The sequence below is a fragment of the Homo sapiens genome, chromosome 1 (genome assembly GCF_000001405.40).
Source record: "Homo sapiens chromosome 1, GRCh38.p14 Primary Assembly".
Lineage (NCBI taxonomy): Eukaryota > Metazoa > Chordata > Mammalia > Primates > Hominidae > Homo > Homo sapiens.
This window is the reverse complement of record NC_000001.11, coordinates 77,236,316-77,259,206: the sequence shown is the minus strand read 5'-3', so window position 1 is coordinate 77,259,206 and position 22,891 is coordinate 77,236,316. Positions and strand designations below refer to the sequence as shown.

General features: G+C 36.2%; 1 long non-coding RNA gene across 1 annotated transcript in view; it reads right to left on the bottom strand.

Moving 5' to 3' along the window:
- Positions 1-7,096: 7,096 nt before the first annotated feature.
- LOC105378808 (uncharacterized) overlaps positions 7,097-22,891 on the bottom strand; it is a 32,591-nt gene continuing 16,796 nt past the window's right edge. Inside the window, exon 3 of the long non-coding RNA XR_001738109.2 lies at positions 7,097-12,060. This is a non-coding gene — a long non-coding RNA (uncharacterized LOC105378808). The remainder of the gene's footprint in view (positions 12,061-22,891) is intronic.

Here is a 22,891-nt window from a genome sequence, read left to right as displayed (position 1 = left end):
CTGGGTCTAAGTGTCTCACAGAGTATTTGTTTTTCAGTCTCTTGTCCCAACTCTAGATGTGACTTGATTGATGAAACTTCCACTTGATAGAGACTAGTTCTCACCTGACCTCTCTCTAACTGGGAAAAGGCTTCAGACGAACTTGCCTTGCTGCCCGCAATCTACTGCACACCATCCTCACATTAATGGTAGTTTGGTTCTTTGTCTTCCTTACTTCCTAGTCTGTGCGGATCCCTCATGTTTGTATATACAACATGTATATATACAGTATACAACATGTTTGTATATTGCAGGAGAATAAACAAAAATCTTCAGTCTTACATGTAAGCTCTTCTGTGTTCTGTCACTAATGAGCTTTCTAGCTTTACTGCCAACAACATTCATAAAAGAACCTTTAGCCAGTCCACTAAATTGGTCTAATTACCACCTCTCCACTACTTTTTGCTTTTGGACATCTGTCTTTTCAGATATCTGAAGTACCTCCACCATACCCCCTCCCCCATTTCCCTTTGGAAAATATACACTTACTTCCAATTTGATTTTATTATTTGTTTATTTATCTTATTGATACATAATAATTATATATAGTTATGGAGTATATGTAATATTTTGATACAAGCATACAATGCATGATGATTAAATCAGGATAATTAGGATAATCATCACCCCCAACATTTATCATTTCTTTGTGTTAGGAACATTCCAAATCTTCTGTTCTAGTTAGAAATATGCAATAAATTATTAACTTTTGTCACTCTGCTGTGCTATCAAACACCGTAACTTATTCCTTCTATATAACTGTATGTTTGTACCCATCAACCGGCCTCTCTTCATATCCCCTTTGCCCCTTCCCTTCCCAGCCTCTGGTAACCATCATTCTACTCTCTATCTTCATCATGTCAACATTTTAGCTTCCACATGTGAATAAGAACATGCAATATTTGTCTTATTGAATCTGGCTTATTTCTTCTTGATATCAACATTTTAGCTTCCACATATGAATGAGAACATGCAATATTTATTTTATTGAGTCTGGCTTACTTCACTTAGCAAAATGTCCTCCACTTCCATTTATGTTGCTGCACATAACAGGATTTCATTCTTTTTTATGGCTGAATAATATTTCATTGTGTATATATACCACTTTTTCTTTATCCATTTATCCACTGATGGACACTTAGGTTGCTGCTACATCTTGGCTATTGTGAATAATGCTGCAATAAACATGGAAGTGCAGATACCTCTGTAAATTAAAAAAAAATTTTATAGAGACAGGGTCTCACTCTGTTGCTGAGGCTGGATTGCAGTGGTGCAGTCATAGATCACTGCAACCTCTAACTTCTGGACTCATGTGATCCTCCTCCCTCAGCCTCCCAAGTAGCTGGTACTGCAGGTGCTTACCACTATACCTGGTTAATTTTTTATTTTTATTTTTAGAGGCAAAGTCTTGCTATGTTGCTCAGGCTGGTCTTGAACTCCTGATCTCAAGTGATCTTCTCACCCTGGCCTCCAAAAGTGCTAGGATTATAGGAATGAGCCACTGCACCAGTTTTTTTAAAAAAATGGATTTTTAATTATTGTGGGTATATAATAGGTATATATATTTATGGGGTACATGTGATGTTTTGATATAGGCATACAAAGTGTAATAATCACATCAGGGTAATTGGAGTATCCATCACCTCAAACATTCATCATTTCTTTATATTAGTGCCATTCCAATTCTACTATTTTAGTTATTTTTAAATATACAATAAATTATTGTTGACTAAAGTCACCCAGTTGTGCATCATTCATCATTAGAGAAAGGCAAATCAAAACCACAATGAGATATCATCTCACGTCAGTCAGAATGGCTATTATTAAAAAGTCAAAAAATAATAGATGCTGGCAAGGTCGTGGAGAAAAAGGAATGCTTTTCACTGTTGGTGGGAGTGTAAATTAGTTCAACCATTGTGGAAGATAGTGTGATGATCCCTCAAAGACCTAGAGACAGAAATGCCATTTGATCCAGCACTCCCATTACTGGGTATATACCCAATGGAATAGAAATCATTCTTTTATAAAGACACATGCACGTGTGTGTTCATTGCAGCCCTATTCACAATAGCAAAGACATGGAATCAACCTAAATGCCCATCAACGATAGACTGGATAAAAAAGATGTGGTACATATACACCATGGAATATCATGCAGCCATAAAAGGGAATGAGATCATGTCCTTTGCAGGAACATGGATGGAGTTGGAGGCCATCATCCTTAGCAAACTAATGTAGGAACAGAAAACCAAATACCATGTGTCCTCACTTAGAAGTGGGAGCTAAATGATGAGAACAGATGGACACATACAGGTGAACAATGCATACTGGGGCCTCTCGGAGGGTGGGAGGAGGGAGAGGATCAGGAAAACTAAATAATGGATACTAGGCTTACTTAATACCTGGCTAATGAAATATTCTGTACTACAAACCCCCTTGACACACATTTACCTATGTAACAAACCTGCACATCCTGCACATGTACCTCTGAACTTAAAAAAAAATAAAGTCACCCAGTTGTGGTATTAAATACTAGATCTTATTTATTCTAACTATATTTTTATACCCATTAACTATCCCCAGTCTTTCTTCTACTCCCTGCTACATTTCCCAGCCTCTGGTAAGCATCATTCTACTTTCTAGTTCCATGAGTTCCATTGTTTTAATTTTTAGCTCCCAAATATGTATGAGAAGATGCAAAATTTGTCTTTCTGTGCCTGACGCAATGTCCTCCAGTTCCGTTCATGTTGTTGCAAATGACAGGCTGAATAATATTCCATTTGGGGGTGTCCAACATTTTAGCTTCCATGGGCCACATTGCAAGAAGAATTGTCTTGGGCCACACTTAAAATACACTAACACTAATGATAGCTGATGAGCTAAAAAAAAAACACACACACACACACACACACAAAAATCTCATAATGTTTTAAGAAAGTTTATGAATTTGTGTTGGACTGCCTTCAAAACCATCCTGGGCCACATGTGGCCCATGGGCCATGGGTTGGACCAGCTTGGTGTATATGTACCACATTTTCTCTATCCATTCACCTGTTGATGGATACTTAGGTTGATTCCAAATCTTGGCTATTGTGAATAGTGCTGCAATAAACATGGGGGTGCAGATATCTCTTGGATGTACCAATTTCCTATCTTTTCTAACTCAGCATTGAGATTGCTGGATCACATGGCACTAATGCCATTTTATTTATTTTCTGGTTGATTTTTGGTTTTCCTTCCTTCCCGGTTTCTTTGTGTAAAAGTGATTTTTCTCTGGTAGTATGCTTTCATTTCTTGCTGTTTATTTTTTGTGTATCTGTTGTAGGTTTTTTTTAATTTGAGGTTACCATGAGGCTTGTAAATGATATAACTATTTTAAACTCATAACAGCTTAACTCTGATTACAGAAAAACAACAAAAACAAAAAAGCAAAGAGAAAACTAATAAAAGTTCTACACTTTAACTCCATCCCCCTGACTTTTTAAACATTTTGTTGTTTCTTACCTTTTTATACACTCTGCCTCTTAAAACTTTGTTGTAGTTATTGTATTTGACAGTTTTGTCTTTTAGTATTCCTACTCAGTAAATGAGTGGTTTATACACCACACAGTGTTAGAGTATTCTGCATTTATCTGTGTACTTACTCTTACCAGTGTTTTGTAACTTTGGATAATTTTTTATTGCTCATTAACAACCCTTTCTTTCAGATTGAAGGAGTCCCTTTAGCATTTCTTGTAGACAGGTCTGGTGTTGACAAAATCAGCCAGCTTTTATTTGTCTGGGAAAGTCTTTATTTCTTCTTCATGTTTTAAGGAATTTTCACTGGATATACTACTCTAGGATAAAAATTTTATTTCCTTCAGCACTTTAAATATGTCATGCCACTATCTCCTGGACTATAAGGTTTCCACTGAGAAGTCTGCCAGACACATTGGAGCTCTTTATATGTTATTTGCTTCTTTTCTTTTGTTGCCTTTAGAATCCTTTATCCTTGACCTTTGAGGTTTTATTAAATATCTTGAGATAGTCTTATTTGGGTTAAATCTTCCTGGTGTTCTATGACCTTCTTATACTTGAATATTGGTATCTTTCTGCAGGTTTGGAAAGTTCTGTTATTTATTTGAATAAGTTTTCTAGCTCAATATCTCTACCTCTTCTTTAAGGCCAATAACTCTTAAGGTTTGCCCTTTTGATGCTGTTTTCTATATCTTGTAGGCATGCTTCATTCTTTTTTATTCATTTCAATTTTTTCTCCTCTGACCGTATATTTTCATATACCCTGTCGTGAAGCTCACTAATTTTTTCTTCTGCTTAATCAATTCTGCTGTTTAGAGTCTCTGATGCATTTTTCAGTTTGTCAGTTGAATTTTTCCACTCCAGAATTTCTTCTTAATTTTTTAAAAAAGATTCAATCTCTTTGTTAAAAATTTTTGATAGAATTCTGGATTCCTTGTCTGTATTATCTTGAAGTTTGTTGAGCTTCCTTAAAGTAACTATTTTGAATTCCCCGTGTGAAAGTTCACACATCTCTGTCACTGCAGGATTGGTCACTGGTGCCTTATTTAGTTTGTTTGGTGAGGTCATGTTTTCCTGGATAGTCTTGATGCCTATGGATGTTTATTGATGCCTGGACATTGAAGAATTAGGTATTTATTCTAATATTCACAGTCTGGGCTTGTTTGTACCAATCTTTCTTGAGAAGACTTTTGGGATATTCAAAGAGAATTGAATGTTGTCATCTAAGTCTCTGGTCACTGCAGCTGTATCTGGACTAGAGAGCACCCTGAGCCCAGTAACACTGTGACACTTGCAGGCTCAAAGAGGGCTTGGGTAAGATCCAGAAGAATCCCCTGGATTACCAAGCAGGATCTCTCATTTTCTTCCCTCACTTACCCCAAACAGGAGCCTCTCTTTCCATGCTGGGCTGCCTGGAGTTGGGGAAGTTGTGATGCAAGCACTTCCCTGGCCACCACAGCTGGGACTGTGCTGGATCACACCTGAAGTCAGCATATTGCTATATCTTGCCCAAGGCCCATGGTTACTACTGCCTGGCTATCACTGATGTTCATTCAAAGACCAACAGTTCTTTAGTCATCAGGTGGTGAATCCTGCCAGGACTGGGTCTTTGCCTTCTGGGTATTGGGTTGCCTTCTGGCACAGGGTGGGTCTAGAAATGCTTGTCCAGAAACTAGGGCCTGGAATCAGGGGCTTCAGGAATCTGCCTGATGCTTTAGTTCATTGTGGCTGAGCTGGTACCCACGTTGCAAGGCAAAGTCCTCTGTAATCTTCCCTCTCTTTTCTGCAAGTGGAAGGAGTCGACTTGAGCTGTACTGCTTGGAGTTTTTGGAGGGGTGATGTAAGCCTTCCCTTAACTGTAGCAGCTGATGTTTCACTGGGTTGCTGCACCCCAAGTCCACTAGTCCACTGACTTCGAGCCCAGTGCAGCACCAGGACTTGCTTAGAGACTGCAGTCCTTGTGGCCTGCCTGCCTTTCAAATATATTCAGGACTCTAGGTCACTGTAGTGAGTCCATGGTGGAGCTAGCTGGAACTTCTTTGGGGCAGAGGATTCTACTCTGGCTGAGGCTATTCTATATTCTCCCTCCATGGGCAATGGTAGAATTCTTCCCTGTGCTGGGTTCCTCTGTGATAGGGCAGCACTGAGTTCCAATGCAAAGTCCCACAATCACTTCACTCTCCCTCCCCCAAGCACATAGATTTTCTTTCCATGCATTTCCCAGGATGGGGGATGGGTAGTGTAGCCGATGCAAGACAGTCTTTCCTATCCTTTTCAGTTCCTCTTTCCTTGATACCATATTAAAACCAGGCACTGTGAAGGCTCAACATATTATTGTTTCTTATGAAGGTGTTTTCTTGCAAAGATATTTATTCAATTTGGTATTCCTGCAGTGGGGACAATCACTGGAGGGTTCTATCTGGCCATCTTGCTTTGCTTCTTCCTCCAATATCTCTTTGGTGTACTGATTTCCTTTCTTTTTTGGCTATATACTCAGCAGATCATATTGTGGATTAATTTTAAGTTTTTGAAGAAACTTCCATACTGTTTTCCATAGAGGCAGCCTAATTTACTATCCCACCAACAGTATATGACCATTCCCCTTTCGCCACATCCTTGCCAGCATTTGTTATTTTTTGTCTTTTTGATAATAGCCATTCTAACCGGGGTGAGATGATATCCCACTGTAGTTTTGATTTATATTTCCCTGATGATGAGCAGTACTGAACACTTGTCTTATATTCCTCTTTGCCATTTGTATGTCTGCTTTGGCGAAATGTCTATTTAGATCATTTGCCCATTTTAAAAATTGAATTATTTGTTTTTTTCTTATTGAGTTGTTTGAGTTCCTTATATATTCTGTTTAGTAATCACTTTTCAGATAGATGCTTTGCAAATATTTTCTTCCATTCTGTAGGTTGTCTCTTAACTTTATAGATTGTTTTCTTTGCTATGTAAAACATTTTTAGCTTGATGTAATCCAACTTGTCTATATCCAGGTTTTATTGTGTGTGCTTTTGAGGTCTTACCCCATACATCTTTGCCCACACCAATGTCCTGAAGTGATTCCTCGCTGTTTTCTTTTAGTAATTTCATAGTTTCAGGTCTTATTTTTAAATCTTTTATCCCTTTATATTTGGTATTGGAATATTGTGAAGGATAGAAATCTAATTTTATTTTTCTGCATATGGATATCTAGCTTTCCCATGTATTGAAGAGATTGTTCTTTCCCCAAAGTATGTTCTTGGCACCTTTGTCAAAAATGATTTGGTTATAAACATGTGGATTTATTTCTGTGTTCTCTATTCTGTTCCATTGGGCCTAAGTGTCTGTTTTTATGCCAGTACGCTGTTTTTATTACTATAGCCTTGCAGTATATTCTGAAATCAGTGTAATACCTCCAGCTTTGTTCTTTTTCTCAGGTTTGCTTTGGTTATTTGGGGTCTTTAGTGGTTCCAAACAAATTTTAAAATTGTTTTTTTCTTCTTCTGTGAATAATATCATTGGTGTTTTGATAGGGATTGCATTGACTTTGTAGATTGTTTTGGGTAGTATGGACATTTTAGCAATATTGATTATTCCAATCCATGAACATGGGATATCATTCCATTTTTTGTGAGTCTTCTATAACTTCTTTCGTCAGTGTTTTATAGTTTTCCTTGTAGAGAGGTTTCATTTCTTCAGTTAAATTTATTTTTAGCTATTTCAATTTTTTGTTGCTATTATAAATGGGATTACTTTATTGATTGTTTTCAGATTGTTTCCACTGGCATGTAGAAGTGCTACTAATTTTTATATGTTGATTTTGTATCCTGAAACTTTACCAAATTTGTTTATTAGTTATTATAGTTTCTTCATGGAATTGCAAAGTTTTCAAAACCTAGAATCATGTCATCTATGAACAAAGATAACTTGACTTCTTCCTTTCCAATTTAGTTGTCCTTTATTTTCTTTCTCTTGTCTAGTTTTTCTGGCTAGAACTTCCAGTACTCTATTGAAAAAGTGGTGAGAATGGGGATCCTTGTTGTGTTCCAGATCTTAGAGGAAAGGCTTTCAGTTTTTCCTTATTCAGTATGTTAGCTGTGGGTTTTTCACATATTCACCTTCATTTTTTTGAAGTATGTTCCCTCTATACCCAATTAGTTGAGAGTTTTAATCATGGAAAAAATGTTGAAATTTATCAAATACTTTTTAAGCATTTATTGAAATGATCATACAATTTTTATTCTTGATTCTGTCAGTGTGGTGTATCAAGTTTACTGATTTGCATATGTTGAACCATTATTGCATCTCTTGGATAAATCTCACTTGACTATGATGGAATGATCTTTTAAAATATGTTGTGGAATTCAGTTTGATGATATTTGTTAAGAATTTTTGCATCTATGTTTATCAATGAAATTGATATGTGGTTTTCTTTTTTAATTGTATATTTGTCTAGTTTTGGTATCTTGGTAATGCTGGCCTTATAGAATGAGTTTGGAAGTATTCCTTCTTCTTTAAGATTTTTGAATAGTTTGTGTAGAATTGGCATTAATTCTTCTTTAAATGTTTGGTAGAATTCAACAGTGAATCCTTCAGATCTTGGGCTTTTCTTTGATGGGATACTTTTTATTACTGTTTTAATCTCATTACTTGTTATTGGTCTGTTCAGGTTTTCTATTTCTTCCTGGTTTCATCTTGGTAGGTTGTAAGGGCCCAGGAATTAATCTTTTTCTTCCTAGTTTTTCCAATTTATTGGCATATAGTTATTCATAATAATCTCTAATGATTCTCTATTTCTGTGGTATCCATTGTAATATCTCCTTTTTTGTTTCTGATTTTATTTATTTGAGTCCTCTCTCTTTTCTTTGGTCTAGCTAAAGTTTTGTTAATTTCATTTATTATTTCAAAAATGCAATTTTTGCTACTTCAATCTTTTGTATTGTTCAGATAGATACTTTATCTGAATTATGAGTGTTGTTTGTTTTTGCTTGTCTAGTTCCTTGAGGTGATCTTTAGGTTGTTTATTTGAAGTCTTTCTACTTTTTTGATGTAGGCATTTATTGCTACAGAACTGCTCTTAGAACTGCTTTGATATATTACATAGGCTTTAGTATGTCATGTTTCCATTTTCATTTGTCTGAAGATAATTTTAAATTTCCTTTTTAATTTCTTCGTTGACCCATTCAGTGTTCAGGAGTATGTTGTTTCATTTCCATGAGTTTGTACAATTTCCAGTGTTCCTTTTTTTAAAACTGGTTTCTAGTTTTATTCCAGAATGGTAGAATAATTGGAATAATTGTGGTAAGAAATGCACTTGATATGATTTGGATTTTTAAAGAATGTGTCAAGACTTGTTTTGGGACCTAACATATGATCTATCCTGGATAATCTTCTATGTGCTGTTGAGAAAAATGTGTATTCTGCAGCTGTTGGATGGAATGTTCTGTAATATCTGTAACATAAAATAAAATAAAATATAACATAACATAAAATATCTGTTATGTTCCTTTGGTCTAGAGTTCATTTTAACTCCAATGTTTCTTTGTTACTTTTCTGTCTGAGTGATCTGGCCATCACTGAAAATGGGGTGTTGAAATCTCCTAGTACTATTTATTGTAGTCAATCTCTCCCTTTAAGTCTATTAACTTTTTTACATATTTGTGTGTTCCAGTATTGGGTGCATATATATTTACAATTGTTATGTATTCTTGCTGTACTGTCCCCTATATCATTATATAATGGCTTTCTTTTTTGTCATTTTAAAAATGACTCTTGGCTTCAAGTCTAGTTTATCTGATATTAGTAAACCTATCCCTGTTCCTTTTTGGTTTCTATTTGCATGAAATATCTTTTTTCATTCCTTCACTTTTAGTCTGTGAATGTCTTCATAGATTAAGTGAAGTACTTGTAGATAGCATACAGTTGGATCTTGTTTTTTAAATCCATTCAGCCACTCTATGTCTTTTGGTTGGACAATTTGATCCATTTACATTCAAAGTTATTATTCACAGTAAGGGTTTACTACTGCCATTTTGTTACTTGACTTCTTGTTGTTTTGTGAATTCTTCCCTTTTCCTCTCTCACTCTCTTCCTTTGTGGTTAAGTGATTTCCTCTGGTAGTACGTTTTTATTTCATGCTATTTATTTTTATATATCTATTGTAGGTTTTTGCTTTATGGTTAACGTGAGGCTTACAAAAACCCTCTTATATTTATAATAAGTTATTTTAAACTGATAGTGACTTATATTTTATTGCAAAGAAAAGATAAGAAACAACAAACTCTACACTTTAATAACATCCTCTCACCACATTTTGACTTTTTTGTGTTTCAATTTACTTTTTTTACATTGTGCATCTCTTAATAAATTGTAGTTATTGTTTTTAGTGGTTTTGTCTTTTAATCTTCATATTTAAGATATAGGTCATTTACTTACCCTAATTTCACTATTGATGTGTTCTGAATTGGTCTGTTTTCTTTCTTTTACCAATGAGTTTCATACCTGCAGATTGTTTCTTGTTACACATTAGCATCCATTTCTTTCAGATTGAAGAACTCTCTTTAGCATGTCTTGTAACACAGGTCTGGTGCTGACAAATTCCCTCAGTTTTTGTTTGTCTGAGAAAGTCTTTATCTCTCTTCTTGTTTTAATAGCTTTGCTGGGCACATTATTCTTGGTTGACAGTTTTTTTTTTTCTTTCAGCACTTTCAAGCTTCCCATTCTCACCTGGCCTGTAGGATTTCTGCTGTGAAATCCAGTGAAAGCTGTATTGGTGCTTTGTTTAATGTAATATTTTTCTTTTCTTTTGCTGCACTGAGTATTTTTGTTGTCTCTGATTTTTGCTAATTTGATTGTGATATGCCTTAGGGATTTCCTCTTTGGGTTTAATTTGATTGATGACCTCCAAGATTCCTGTATCTGAATGGTGTCCTCTTTCTCCATCTTTGGGAAATTTTCACCATTGTTTTGTTAAATATGTCTTCTAGGCCTTTTTCTCTCTTGCCTCCTTTGGGAATTCCTACTATGCAGAGGTTAGTTTGCTTGATCATGTGCCATAATTCTTAAAAAGTTCTTTTTTATGCTTTTAAATTCTTTTTTCTTTTTTTCTCCTCTGATTAGGTAATTTCATATGTGCTGTCTTCAAACTTGCTAATTCTTTTCTCTAATCAAGTCTGATGTTGAAGCTTTCCAATGAGTTTTTCAGTTTAGTTATTGTGTCAGTTTAGTTACGGTTTCTTTATTTCTAGAAACCCTAGAAATAATGGATTTGTTTGTTTTTATTTCTTATTTCTTTTATTTCTTTGTCAAATATCTCATTTTGTTCCTGGGTTACTTTCCAAATTTTATTTTTTTTCTATCCATATTTTCTTATGATTCTCTAAATTTGTTTAAGAGGATTATTTTGAATTGTCTGTTTAACATTTCCTAGGTCTTCACTTCTTCTAGCTCCATTGCTGGAGCTTTGTTGATTTCTTTTGGTAAGGTCATATTTCCCTGGGTTTTTACAATTCTTGTGGGTTTGCCTTAATACCTGCACATTTTAGGAGATAGCTACCTCTTCCATTACTTGCAGGTATTCTTTGGTGGTGTTTGACCTTTACTACTTAGTATCAGAACTTAACTGCTGATATTCTTTTTTTTTTTTTTTTTTTTGGGAGAATTTATAGTGAGTACCAGAACTAAATCACTGCACTGGAACTAACTTTTGCCCTGCCACTATTTCCCAGTGTGGGGAAAACTTATTGTGAGTACTAAGTTAACAATGCTCTGGAGCTATGTGGCTGCCCTGCCACTGTCTCCCAGTTTGTGGAAGACTTAAGCAGTCACTGGAACTCAATCCCAACGTTTCTAGTTGTTTCTGGTCCAGTGGAGGCTCCATGGGAACACCTAGTCTTTGTTGAAATCTGTCCAGGGATTCAGGCCTTCTCACAGACTGTGTCCCCTATAGCACTATGGTGCCAGCCAGTCTCTTCAATGTGGTGTCCATACTGATTGGAGTGAAGAGTTAACTGCCAAGATCCACGTGCCAGTCACTATGATCAGTGTCCCACTCTTTGTCTCATTTCATCCAAGGTTGGTCAGCCCTTCTGACACTCCCAATTGTTCCCATGGGATGGGGCAGAAGTGGGCTTCCTGAGAAGATTCCCAGACTGGTGGGGAGATCGTATGTCCACTTCCAACTCCCTCTTCTTACCTTAGAAACCATGAGTCTAGGAAAATTCTCTATGAGCGACATTATGCCAGCTTGATGGAGGGGGCTGCAATGTCTGAAACAGCCATTTTTCATACCTGTCACAGCTTCTCTCAATTCTGAGGGCCCCGGAGGTTTCTTCAATTCTCCCTTGAATTGTGGTGAACTCAGGGTTGTGTTCTTGTCTTTAAGTAGTTTCTAGTTGTATTTTTATGGAGGGAGTGATAGTAGGGGATCCTCCATTTCATTATCTTGCTGATGTTACTCCCTCATTTCAATTTAGCTTAAATTTCTTCCTGAAGCTTTTCAACCACTTAATTGAACCTTTTCTATTGGAAACACAAAATAATAACAGGAAGTAAAACAAGGAATTGTTATAATCATAAAACAGAAACATAAAATATAAAAACAACATCTATCTATACCAGTTGCATGTAAGTAATTTTTTTGGTTGTTGCAGAAATTAAACTGATGAGGCTCTGCATCAGTTTCTGTGGAAAATGAAGAATGATTTTTAATTGCAAAGATAATAATGACATCGGAATCCCCAAATCTAGCCCTGATTTCCAGGCCTCTCCTTTTCTGACATTTGTTGCATGTACTCTCTTTACTCCTTCTCTCCTTGTGATTTTTTTCTTACTCGGTTTTCTTCAGCACACCTCCCACCTCTCTTTTGGTCCTTCTGCCTCACTGAATGCTTCCTTTCAGGTTGGCTTTTTTTTTTTTTTTTTTTTTTTTTGAGACTGAGTTTCACTCTATCACCCAGGCTGGAGTGTGGAGTGCAGTGGCGCCATCTCAGCTCACTGCAACCTCTGCCTCCTAGGTTCAAGCAATTCTCCTGGCTCAGCCTCCCGAGTAGCTGGGATTACAGGTGTCCACCACCACGCCTGGCTAATTTTTGTATTTTTAGTAGAGACGGGGTTTCACCATGTTGGCCAGTCTGGTCTCAAACTCCTGACCTAGGCAATCTGCCCGCCTCAGCCTCCCAAAGTGCTGGGATTACAGGCATGAGCCACCGTGCCCGGCCTCACATTGGCTTTTGATGTTTCTCTGCCTAAGCCCTGATCTGCAGGTGCTCCCTTTATGGAATTATCACTTATGGATCACCTTATGACTTACAAATATTGATGCTTGCCCTTGACTCTTTTACTAGTAAGTCAGTATAGACCAATGTTTTTAGCTTAGAGGTTAAGTAAGTAATTCAAACTCTAAATGTTTGAGACTGAATTCACTATTAGCCCTCACAACCCAATTTGTATTCACCATCTGTGGTAAAAACAGCATCATCTTCTTAGTCACTCGTTCTGAAATAATACTCAACTGCTCCTCAGCAATTCCCCTTTTCTCAACACCAATTCACTCTCCATCTTGAAACACTAAGAAGCATCTCATTACACTCAAAGTAATATAAATATTTAAGAAAAAGAAAAAATTACCCTATATGCCTAATAATAGGCAAATATATTCCAAAAGTCTTTCTTGGAGAAAACCCACATCTTTTCTCAGTCCCCTGGAGATGTAAACCTTACTATGTCTTCACAATGTAAACATCTGAGGAGTTAACTAAAACAATTTCTATGCCCAGCCCAGCTGCAACTAAAAAAACAACAGAAAAAAGTGGCTTAAAAACCAAACAACTCCGAACCATGAGGAACATTTCCTTTCCCCCAATCTAGTTCATAGCCTCCATGAGATTACCTATCAAAAGCAAATAAAAAATCTTAAAAGTCTCTCCACAAATATTTTTAAAAAGTCATCTGTATCTGAGCAGGTGAACTTAACTTTTTCCATCTGCCTGAAACACAGTTTAGCACCAACTTTTCTTTTATAAACTAGTGATAAACTAGTGAGTTCTGTGTTATTATACCTGCTTCACGGCTAAAATTTTAGAATGAAAGCTATAATATCTCTGTTTGCATCTGGGCTATGCGTTTATGTATGAGTGTGATTGTTGATATATATAATATTTTTTCTACCCCTGGATGGTATTGCCGAAAGTAACTTGTAAAAGAGCTCTATTTAATTGCCTTAAAGAAAAAAACATAAATGCTTATATATAGAGAAATATAGAGACTAACTCACATGTTTTCCAAGCTCATATGAGGTGGGATAATTTTTGGTAAATAAAGCTAGCTCAAGTTTGTTGGTTTAATAAAAACAGGCATGTCTTCAGGTTGTCAAATATAATTCAAATATATAATTTTTTTCTATCTGGGGTTACTAGTCAAACAAACCATGTTATCTCTGTTTGACATTTAAGTTTTTAAGATTATAAATTCAACTTAAAAATGAAACATACAACAAAAGTAAATTTCTTAATGTATGTCTAGAGTGATGGTAAAGGGGAAAAAAGCTATATGTTTAAATTTTCTGGTGCTTTGCTTCTATGATGTTTGATGGTTGCCTAATAGGTTATAAAAATTACCGATAAGAAAAAGAGCTTAAAATGAGGACTAACTTTGTCTAATATCTCATGGAATTTTCATGAGTAATTGAAACATAATTTTAAAGAATAAGTCAATTAAATACATGTAAATAGGATAAAAGTTTACAAATAAACCTTATAATAATGATTATGTTTTATAAAAATATATCTGCTTAAAAATAGTTTCCAAAATCTTTTTGGAAATTTGAAATCTTAAAGTTATACTATGTTAAGTTAAATGATAAATATTAATTGAATATTTAGATCATTTACAAATAAGATGAAATACCAAAACATTAATTACTGAATATAAGTTCATCTACTTGAGCTTCTTAATTGATACAAAGACAAAAGATATTTGGACCTGTTAATAATGTGTTCTTCTTGTTACATTAAAAAAATTAAGCTATGAAAGAGGCCTACGCCTCCAGAAATTATGAAATGGTTTGTTCACAACTTGCCTAATCTATGACAGAATGCTAGTACACAACACGAAGTTCACAATTGCTTATTTCTAGTTGTTACTGGGAATTAGGGTTATTAAGGTTAAAATTCAAACAAAAATATGTCATAAAACTACTGGAAATAACAAGAAACAAAACTCTGTATGCAAAGAACGTAATGAAAGTAGGATGTGTTTTTGGCAAGAAAAGTTGTGAGGTATAAAAAGATGAATTTTGTTGAGGGAAAAGGAGAATAATTTTATCCTAGTTTAGAGGTTATTTAAAGATTGTTTTGTAATTTTAAAAAGAGAAGAATAAAAGACAAAAATTAAGTGAATATAGAAAGGTGGGAAAAGAGAGAGGCAGAGAGAGAGCCAAGAGCAAGCAAGCAAGTGAGCAAACTAGAATTTGGTCTTTTCTCTGTTGAAAGAACAAAGTTTTCTTGATTTTTGTACAAGAGTTTTCATTACCTGTCAAATAATCAAATTATCAAAATAATTTTTTTGTTCTCCTTGTTGTCCTTATCAGGTCTTTGATTACTTAAGAAAACAAAATATTAAAAGATATTGAAAGAAGGCCAGGCATGGTGAATCATACCTGTAATCCCGATGCTTTAGGAGGCTGAGGTGGGAGGAATGCCTGATGCCAGATGTTTGAGACTAGCTTGGACAACATAGCAAGACCTGGTCTCTACCAAAAAATGAAAAATTAGCTGGGCATGATAGTGCACACCTGTAGTCTCAGCTACTCAGGAGGCTAAGGTGTGAGAATTGCTTGAGCCCAGGAGTTCAGAGTTACAGTGTGCTATGATTGCACTATTTCACTCCAGCCTGGGCAACAGTGAGATGCTGTCTCAACAACAACACAAAAGACATTACAAGAGCAAAGTTTTTGTTTTATTTTTACAAGTATGCAACTTTGTGTATTTGTCTTTGAAATCTTTGTCACTGTGGTTAAATAGATGACGTGGTTTGGAAATCTGTCCCATCCAAATCTCATGGTGAAATGTGACCCCCTCCAGCCTGGCCAACATAGTGAAACCCCATCTCTACCAAAAAAAAAAAAAAAAAAAATAGCTGGACATGGTGGCATGTGCCTGTGGTTCCAGCTACTTGAGAGACTGAGGTGGGAGAATTGCTTGAACCTGGGAGACAAAGGTTGCGGTGAGTTGAGATGGTGTCACTGCACTTCAGCTTGGGCAACAGAGTTCGGCCCTGTCTCAGAAAAAAGAAAGAAGGAAAGAAAGAAAGATAAAGAAAGAAAGGAAGGAAAAGAGAAGAAAAGAAAGAAAAAAAGAGGAAGAAAGAAAGAGAAAGAAAGAAAGAAAAGTGACCCCTGATGTTGGAGGTGGAGTCTAGCCAGAGGTGTTGGGTCATGGGGGCAGATTCCTCATAAATGGCTTGGTTCCCTCCCTGTGGTAGTGAGCGGTAATGAGTTCATGCAAGAGCTAGTTCTTTAAAAAGCCTGCCCCCCTCCTCACCAACTCTCTTGCTCCCTCTCTTATGATGTAATATGTTGGCTCCCCTTTCACTTTCTGCCATGATTGCAAGCTTCCTGAGGCCCTCACCAGAAGGAGATGCCAGCACTATGCTTCCTGCACAGGCTGAAGAACCACGAGCTAAAATAAACCTCTTTTCTTTATAAATTACCCAGTCTCAGGTATTCCTCTGTAGCAACACAGACAGACTAATACAATAGATAACTGAGTATTGTTTCAAAGTGATCTGTGATCCTATTTTATCAAGAGTTTTAAACCTTTTGACATTTTTGACAATATTTGAACTCCCAGGATCAAATTCTAAAGTGCTTTTGACCTCAAAGTAACTTTGGGATTTTCCAGAGAGCCCCTGGAAAATCTCAAAAGATTTGTTTTTTATCTTTCTGAAAGAGAGATATTAAAATAATTAGAGTTATGTGTTATTTGTAGGAATATATATTATTAATATAAGTGTTAAAGAAATTATATAAAATTTCTAGAAATCTGATATGTCCTGGTATAATGTCATCAGTCATAATCCTAGTTATTATCTTAAAATGTTGCATGTCACAGAAATAACCAAATTTTCTTATCAATTGCATTGTAATGATCTCTCATGAGATTTTTGACCATGGCCATTTAAAAGCATTTGTCATTCACAGATAGTTGTTTTACTCTGATGTTTTCCTGAAATCAACTACAGACAAAACTGCTTTATCGTTAAAGAGATTCACAGAAAAGACTCTGACAAGTGCAGGCTTCTGATAACTATAAGATCATACCACTGAGCTTGATAAGAATTTCTAAAAATCAAGTGGATAAACTGATTGATTCATAAAACTTCTAACCCAGGATTAAGCACAACGAGAAGTAATTAGTGGGAGTAAATAAACTGATGAGGATGATTATTATTTTTATGACTTTATTAAACCATTATATTAATGCTTTAATATTTTGTTTTCCAGATGTGAAGAACACTTTTTCTGTTTTTATTTAAGCTAGTTATAGCTTGCAGCAATCTAGTAAAGTATACTTTGGAAACAGATTTGAAGCATTTATCTGTTCCCTACCTGATCCCTCCAAAATTCAGAAACTCTTATTGAGTATTATTTTCATGGCAATATAGTTATTTACATAAGATCAATAAGAATATATTTTCTTTGTAACATGATATAATTGGAAACATTGATTATATTACCAAGGCTTTGACTAGAATGTCATATTTGAGAATTATATGCATAGGATCAGATATAACCAGACAGCTTTAATGAACTAAGGTTGATTTTATGAACCCAATAAAGCCACTTAGAAAAAAAAAAAAAAAGACTAGTACCTGGCTTCAAAGGATTCCAACCTTACAGGTGAGTAAGGAACATCACTTCCTGGTAGGCCTAGGAGGCTGATAATATTTTGAGAGCCTTGAGAAATGAGGAATTCACCTAAATCTATAGGTAGGTGAAGTCTAATGCAAAGTCCCTAGCTTAGCTTTATAGCTTGAAGAGGCTTTTATTTTTATTTTATTTTATTTATTTATTTATTTTTAGATGAAATTTCACTCCTCTTGCCCAGGCTGGAGTGCAATGGCGTGATCTCAGCTCACTGCAACCTCTGCCTCCCAGGTTCAAGTGATTCTCCTGCCTCAGCCTCCCGAGTAGCTGGGATTACAGGCATGCGCCACCACGCCCAGCTAATTTTGTATTTTTAGTAGAGATGGGGTTTCTCCATGTTGCTCAGGCTGGTCTTGAACTCCCGACCTCAGGTGATCCACCCGCCTTGGCTTCCCAAGGTGCTAGGATTACAGGCATGAGCCACTGGGCCCAGCCTTTATTTTATTTTTTAATTCTATGTTTAACTATGTATGTATATATATTTATTGTATTTTTTTTAGAGATGAGGTCTTGCTATGTTTCCCAGGCGAGTCTTGAACTCCTGGGCTCAAACAATCCTCCTGCGTCAGCCTCCTGAGTAACTGGGACTATAGGCATGCACCATTGAGTCTGGAATGGAGAGGCTTTTAAAAGTCTAATCAGAGATTCCTTATTAAAAGTTCCAGCAAAGCAGATTTAAAAAGTGTCTATATGACCAGTCACTATTCTTGCTTTGCTTATTTAAATAATCAGGCCAAATTTAATGAGACTAGACTTATTTTACAAACAAATTAGTCTTACTATGATTATGTTTGTGAAACATGAGGGTGACTATAGACAGAAAAATTATGTGCACTGTAGAAAACTATAGTAATTCAATTCTAGCCTTGTTCATTGTCTTTGAGGTTTTGTTATCTTTCTGTAAACTGGACTGTATCCTGAATTCTTCTAGTTTCCTCCAATATCTGGCTATGACTCTCCAAACTAACATTTCCAATTTTCTCCCACCTTTCTGACTTGAAATACCAAAAAATAAAACTGCCCCTTTCCCAAAGCCTTGCAAGCCGAAGCTGGGTGACTTGATATAAACTTCATAGAAATCACCACAAAAACTCATATATAAACATATAAACAAGCTTCATGCCTGTTGCTGTGGGGACTACTCAGAAAGTTCACCCATATCACCTGGTGACATCACCAGAGACTTTCAGACAGCAAAAGAAGATGCTTCGAGCCCAATATCTAGAAATCTTCTTGACTGGCTGCCCTCTGGACTCATAAACAGATTTTTTTGTTTGTTTGTTTGTTTCCATAGGAATGCCTGATTGCTCGGACCATATGGAGGCCTAACTTTGGTAGGAACCCACCTGCAACATTGTCTCCTGAAATGAAACACAACTGTTTGTTTAATGGAACTGACCTGTTCTCCAGGAGTAAGAGATTTTCAGTAAGATAAGGTTGCAATCTATCAACTCAGCTTCTGAACTATGAAACTTCTTGGGGAAGGTTCAAAGGAGGGAAATGAAGGATGGCAGAATATGCCATCTGCAAATACACCACTTTGGCATAAGGATTATTTTGATATAAAGGCACTTTAGAAAAAGAACAACAGTGGCTGCAAGAAAGGCGCTCTAATCCTCCCCTTTTTCTTCCTGAAAGTTGAAGATAAAACCCCTACATGGAAAAATCCTCCTGTACCAGAAAGAAAGTTCTATTCTTATTTTCAGTAATAGGAAGTTGAGGGGGGAGAATTCTCTACAAACAAACCTGGTTAAACTAACCCTTATCTTCCTACTCACTTCTCTACCCAGTTAACTACCCTTGCCCAAGCCCCTTTGCCTAATTACAGTCTCATAATTTACTACTCTTTGTCCAATTCAGTATGTAAGTGTTCGATTCTAATTGGCTCTTCGGGTCTTTACTTTCTTATGAAGCCCCCTGTGCCACATAAAACTTGTATTAAATAAATTCATATGCTTTTCTCCTACTTGTTTCTTTTATGTCAATTTAATTCTCAGCCGTAGCCAAAAAGCCCTAAGGGGAGAGAGGTAAAATTTTACTTTTCCTCCCTTCAATGTGCCTCCGCCCCACATATTGTCTGCTCCTTCACTGGCAAACAGACTTTATAAGAACAGGCCTTTTCATTGCTTTTTGATGGTTTTTTCATTGTTGTATTGTTGTAGGTGCTTTTTAAAAATTGTTTTTTCATTGTTATGGCTGCAACATTGTTGCCAGGTGATAGGAACCCAGTAAGTCTTTATGGCATTAAAAAACAAGCTAGTCAATTCTGTTGAATACAACTTCCCTTTCCGATTTGTACTTTTTTTCTTTAGCCTATTTTTTTTTAAGTAGCTTAAAAAAATTTGTTTTAGGGTCAGAGTCTCGCTCTGTTGCTCAGGCTGGATGCAGTGGTTCCATCATAGCTCCCTGCAGCCTCAAACCTTTAGGCTCAAGCAATCCTCCTGACTAACCCTCCTGACCAGCTGGTATACGGGTGCAGGCCACCCTGCCAGCACTCTAGCCTGACACTTACTTGAGAAGCAGTGAAGGATGTTCATTAAGTGTGCAAATTCAAGAGTAAGACTACTTGAGTTTGAATCCTAGCTTCAACACCTACTGGGCATGGAACCTGAGGCAAATTACATAAAAACTGTATACCCCAGTTGTACATATATAAAACGACAAAATAATAACATCTTCTTTATAAAGCTGTTACAAGAATTAATGCACATAAATATATGGTAAACAATTAACATAGGCACATAATGAGCATTATGTGTTAGTCATTACTTTTCTCACATAAACTATTATTATGGTCTATTTCTAGTCTCTTTATTGCTGTCTTCCTAAAATATACATTTGATCATGTTACCCTGATGCTTAATTTTTTTTTTTGAGACAGGGTCTCACTACGTTGCCCAGGCTGGTCTCAAACTCTGGGCTCAAGAGATTCTCCCCACTCAGCCTGCTGAGCATCTGGAATTACAGGCTCATGCCACCATTTCAGGCTGCTTGAATTGATAGCTGTGGACTATTCACAAGAAGAAGTTTAGCACTCTGGCAGAGTACATGGTTCTTCACAGATGAGCACCATTTCCTATTACTCAAGCCCATGCTCTCTGTTTCAGTTACTTGGGTTGCTCATCCTTCCTCAAAAGCTCACAACATGCCTTTCTCTGATTCTGTACATCTGCCTGAAATGCCCCTTGCCTCTTCCAAACAGGCCCCTTACTCCTTCTTATTCTTTCCTTTCCTGATAAGTTCTAATGTTGCCTCCCCAGCAAAGTCTTCCCTGACTCCTAATAATAATTATAGCAATACTAAAAAAAAAAATGACACTGGCTTTCCTTGAGAATTTACCATAGGCCAGACACTGTAATGAACACTTCACATTTATTATTTCATTTAACCTTTTTAACAATCCTATGTGATAGGGGTAATGTTAGTCTCCATTATAGAAATAAAGAAAAAAGTTAGCTACATTAACTAGAATGAACAATTTATCTGAATTCCAGTAGGACTTCAGATATAGCTTTATTATGGCTCTAAAACCTTGTTGAACAATTATTTATTCAAGAGGCTGCTCTCTGCCTCTCTTCCTGCAGAATGAGCCTTTGCAACTAAGAACTGCAGTTCTGTTTCTTATTCTTGGGGCTCACTGTGATGCCTGGCACATAGTAGTTAGCCAGAAAGTGCTTTATCTTGCATGACTTGGGTTTTTACTAAGATGCCCAAAGTCAGTTTTAGATAACTTTTTAAAATTATGTCCTTGAATTATTAAGTCTGGCTTAAAATTGCCTCATTACCTTCTTTTGAATAAATAATTGTAAATCCCTTTATAGAAGAGGAGAAAATAAAAGAGTACCACATGGAGATATTAAAAATTATTTTATTTATTTAAAAAATTGACTTTGATCTCAAATGATAAAAAGCTCCAACTGTAAAGAGAACGAAAAATGTAAACAAAGCATTCATATTCATTTTGTAGTACTGACACAAAACAAAATGAGTAAAAATGCATTAAATTTGTTTGGAGACCTCTATACTTAATGATGCCCTTAAGAACTAAAGTAATTTTTGTATTTTTTAAACAATAAGACTGCAGCTATAGAAATTAACTGACATTATAGCCCTACGTATCTTTCGCTGATGGGTACTTCTCTATTCAAAACAATCTGTTTCTTATTAGAAAGGAAGCTTTTGAAATCACATATGAATAGATTAGGCTTTTTCATCAGAACTGACAGATAAAATTATAAAGTCTATAAAAGATCTAGTTTTTATGAAAATTTTATGGGTTTTTTTTTGCCAGAATACGCTAATACAAAGAGAGATGTCTGGCCATGTGAATTATAACTTAACTCTATTTATTTTGCTACTTCCATTGATATAAATATTAGAAATACTAATATGAATTTTATAAAGATTTCCTCAATGTTTTGGGATAAACAAGAACATTGAAAAGAAATGATTTTATTAATCATCAAACTGAAACTCAGGAAGGCAGTGGAAGTAAATTTTGCAATGCAGATAAAAGTCAGACTACCAGAATAATTTTTGCCCCCAGAGACTTGCAATGTGGTGTTCTAGTAGGGCAGGGAGAGAACAAGATAGCAAACTTGCTAGAGACAGTGAAGAGAGCTGGCAATGGGGGACAGAAGAGGAAAATAATAACTGATATGGTTGGCTCTGTGTCACCATCCAAATCTATCTCTAAGTGTAATCCCCAAGTGTCAAGGGAGGGACGTGGTAGAAGGTGATTGGATCATGGGGGTGGTTTTCTCCATGCTGTTTTCATGATAGTGAGGGAGTTCTCATGAGATCTGATGGTTTAAAAGTGACAGTTTCCCCTGATCTCTGTCTCTCTCCTGCTGCCATGTAAGACTTGCCTTGCTTCCCTTTTGCCTTCTGCCATGATTGTAAGTTTCCTGAGGCCTCCCCAGCCATGCAGAACTATGAGTCAATTAAACCTCTTTTGTTTATAAATTAGCCAGTTAACTTTATAGCAGTGTGAGAATGGACTAATACAATAACTAGTATTAACTGAGTGCTCAGTATGTACTGGACACTGAGCTAAGGTCTTTAGCTTGTATATATGCATTATCTCAGATAACTCTATGAAGTAGGCTGTCTTAGTCCATTTTGTGCTGCTGTAACAGAATGCCACAGACTGGGTAATTTATAATGAACAGCAATGATTTGGCTCATGGTTCTGGAAGCTGGGAAGTTCAAAATTGAGAGGCTGACATCTGATGAAAGCCTTCTGGTTGCATTATTCATGGCAGAAGAGCAAAGAAAGGGTGCAAGAAAAAGAAAGCGAGAGGTGGCTGAACTCATCCTTTTATAAGGAGAACACTCTTGCAATAATGTACCCACTCCTGCAATAATGGCATTAATCCACTCATGAAGGTGATGCTCCCATGACCGAAACGCCTACCATTAGCATGG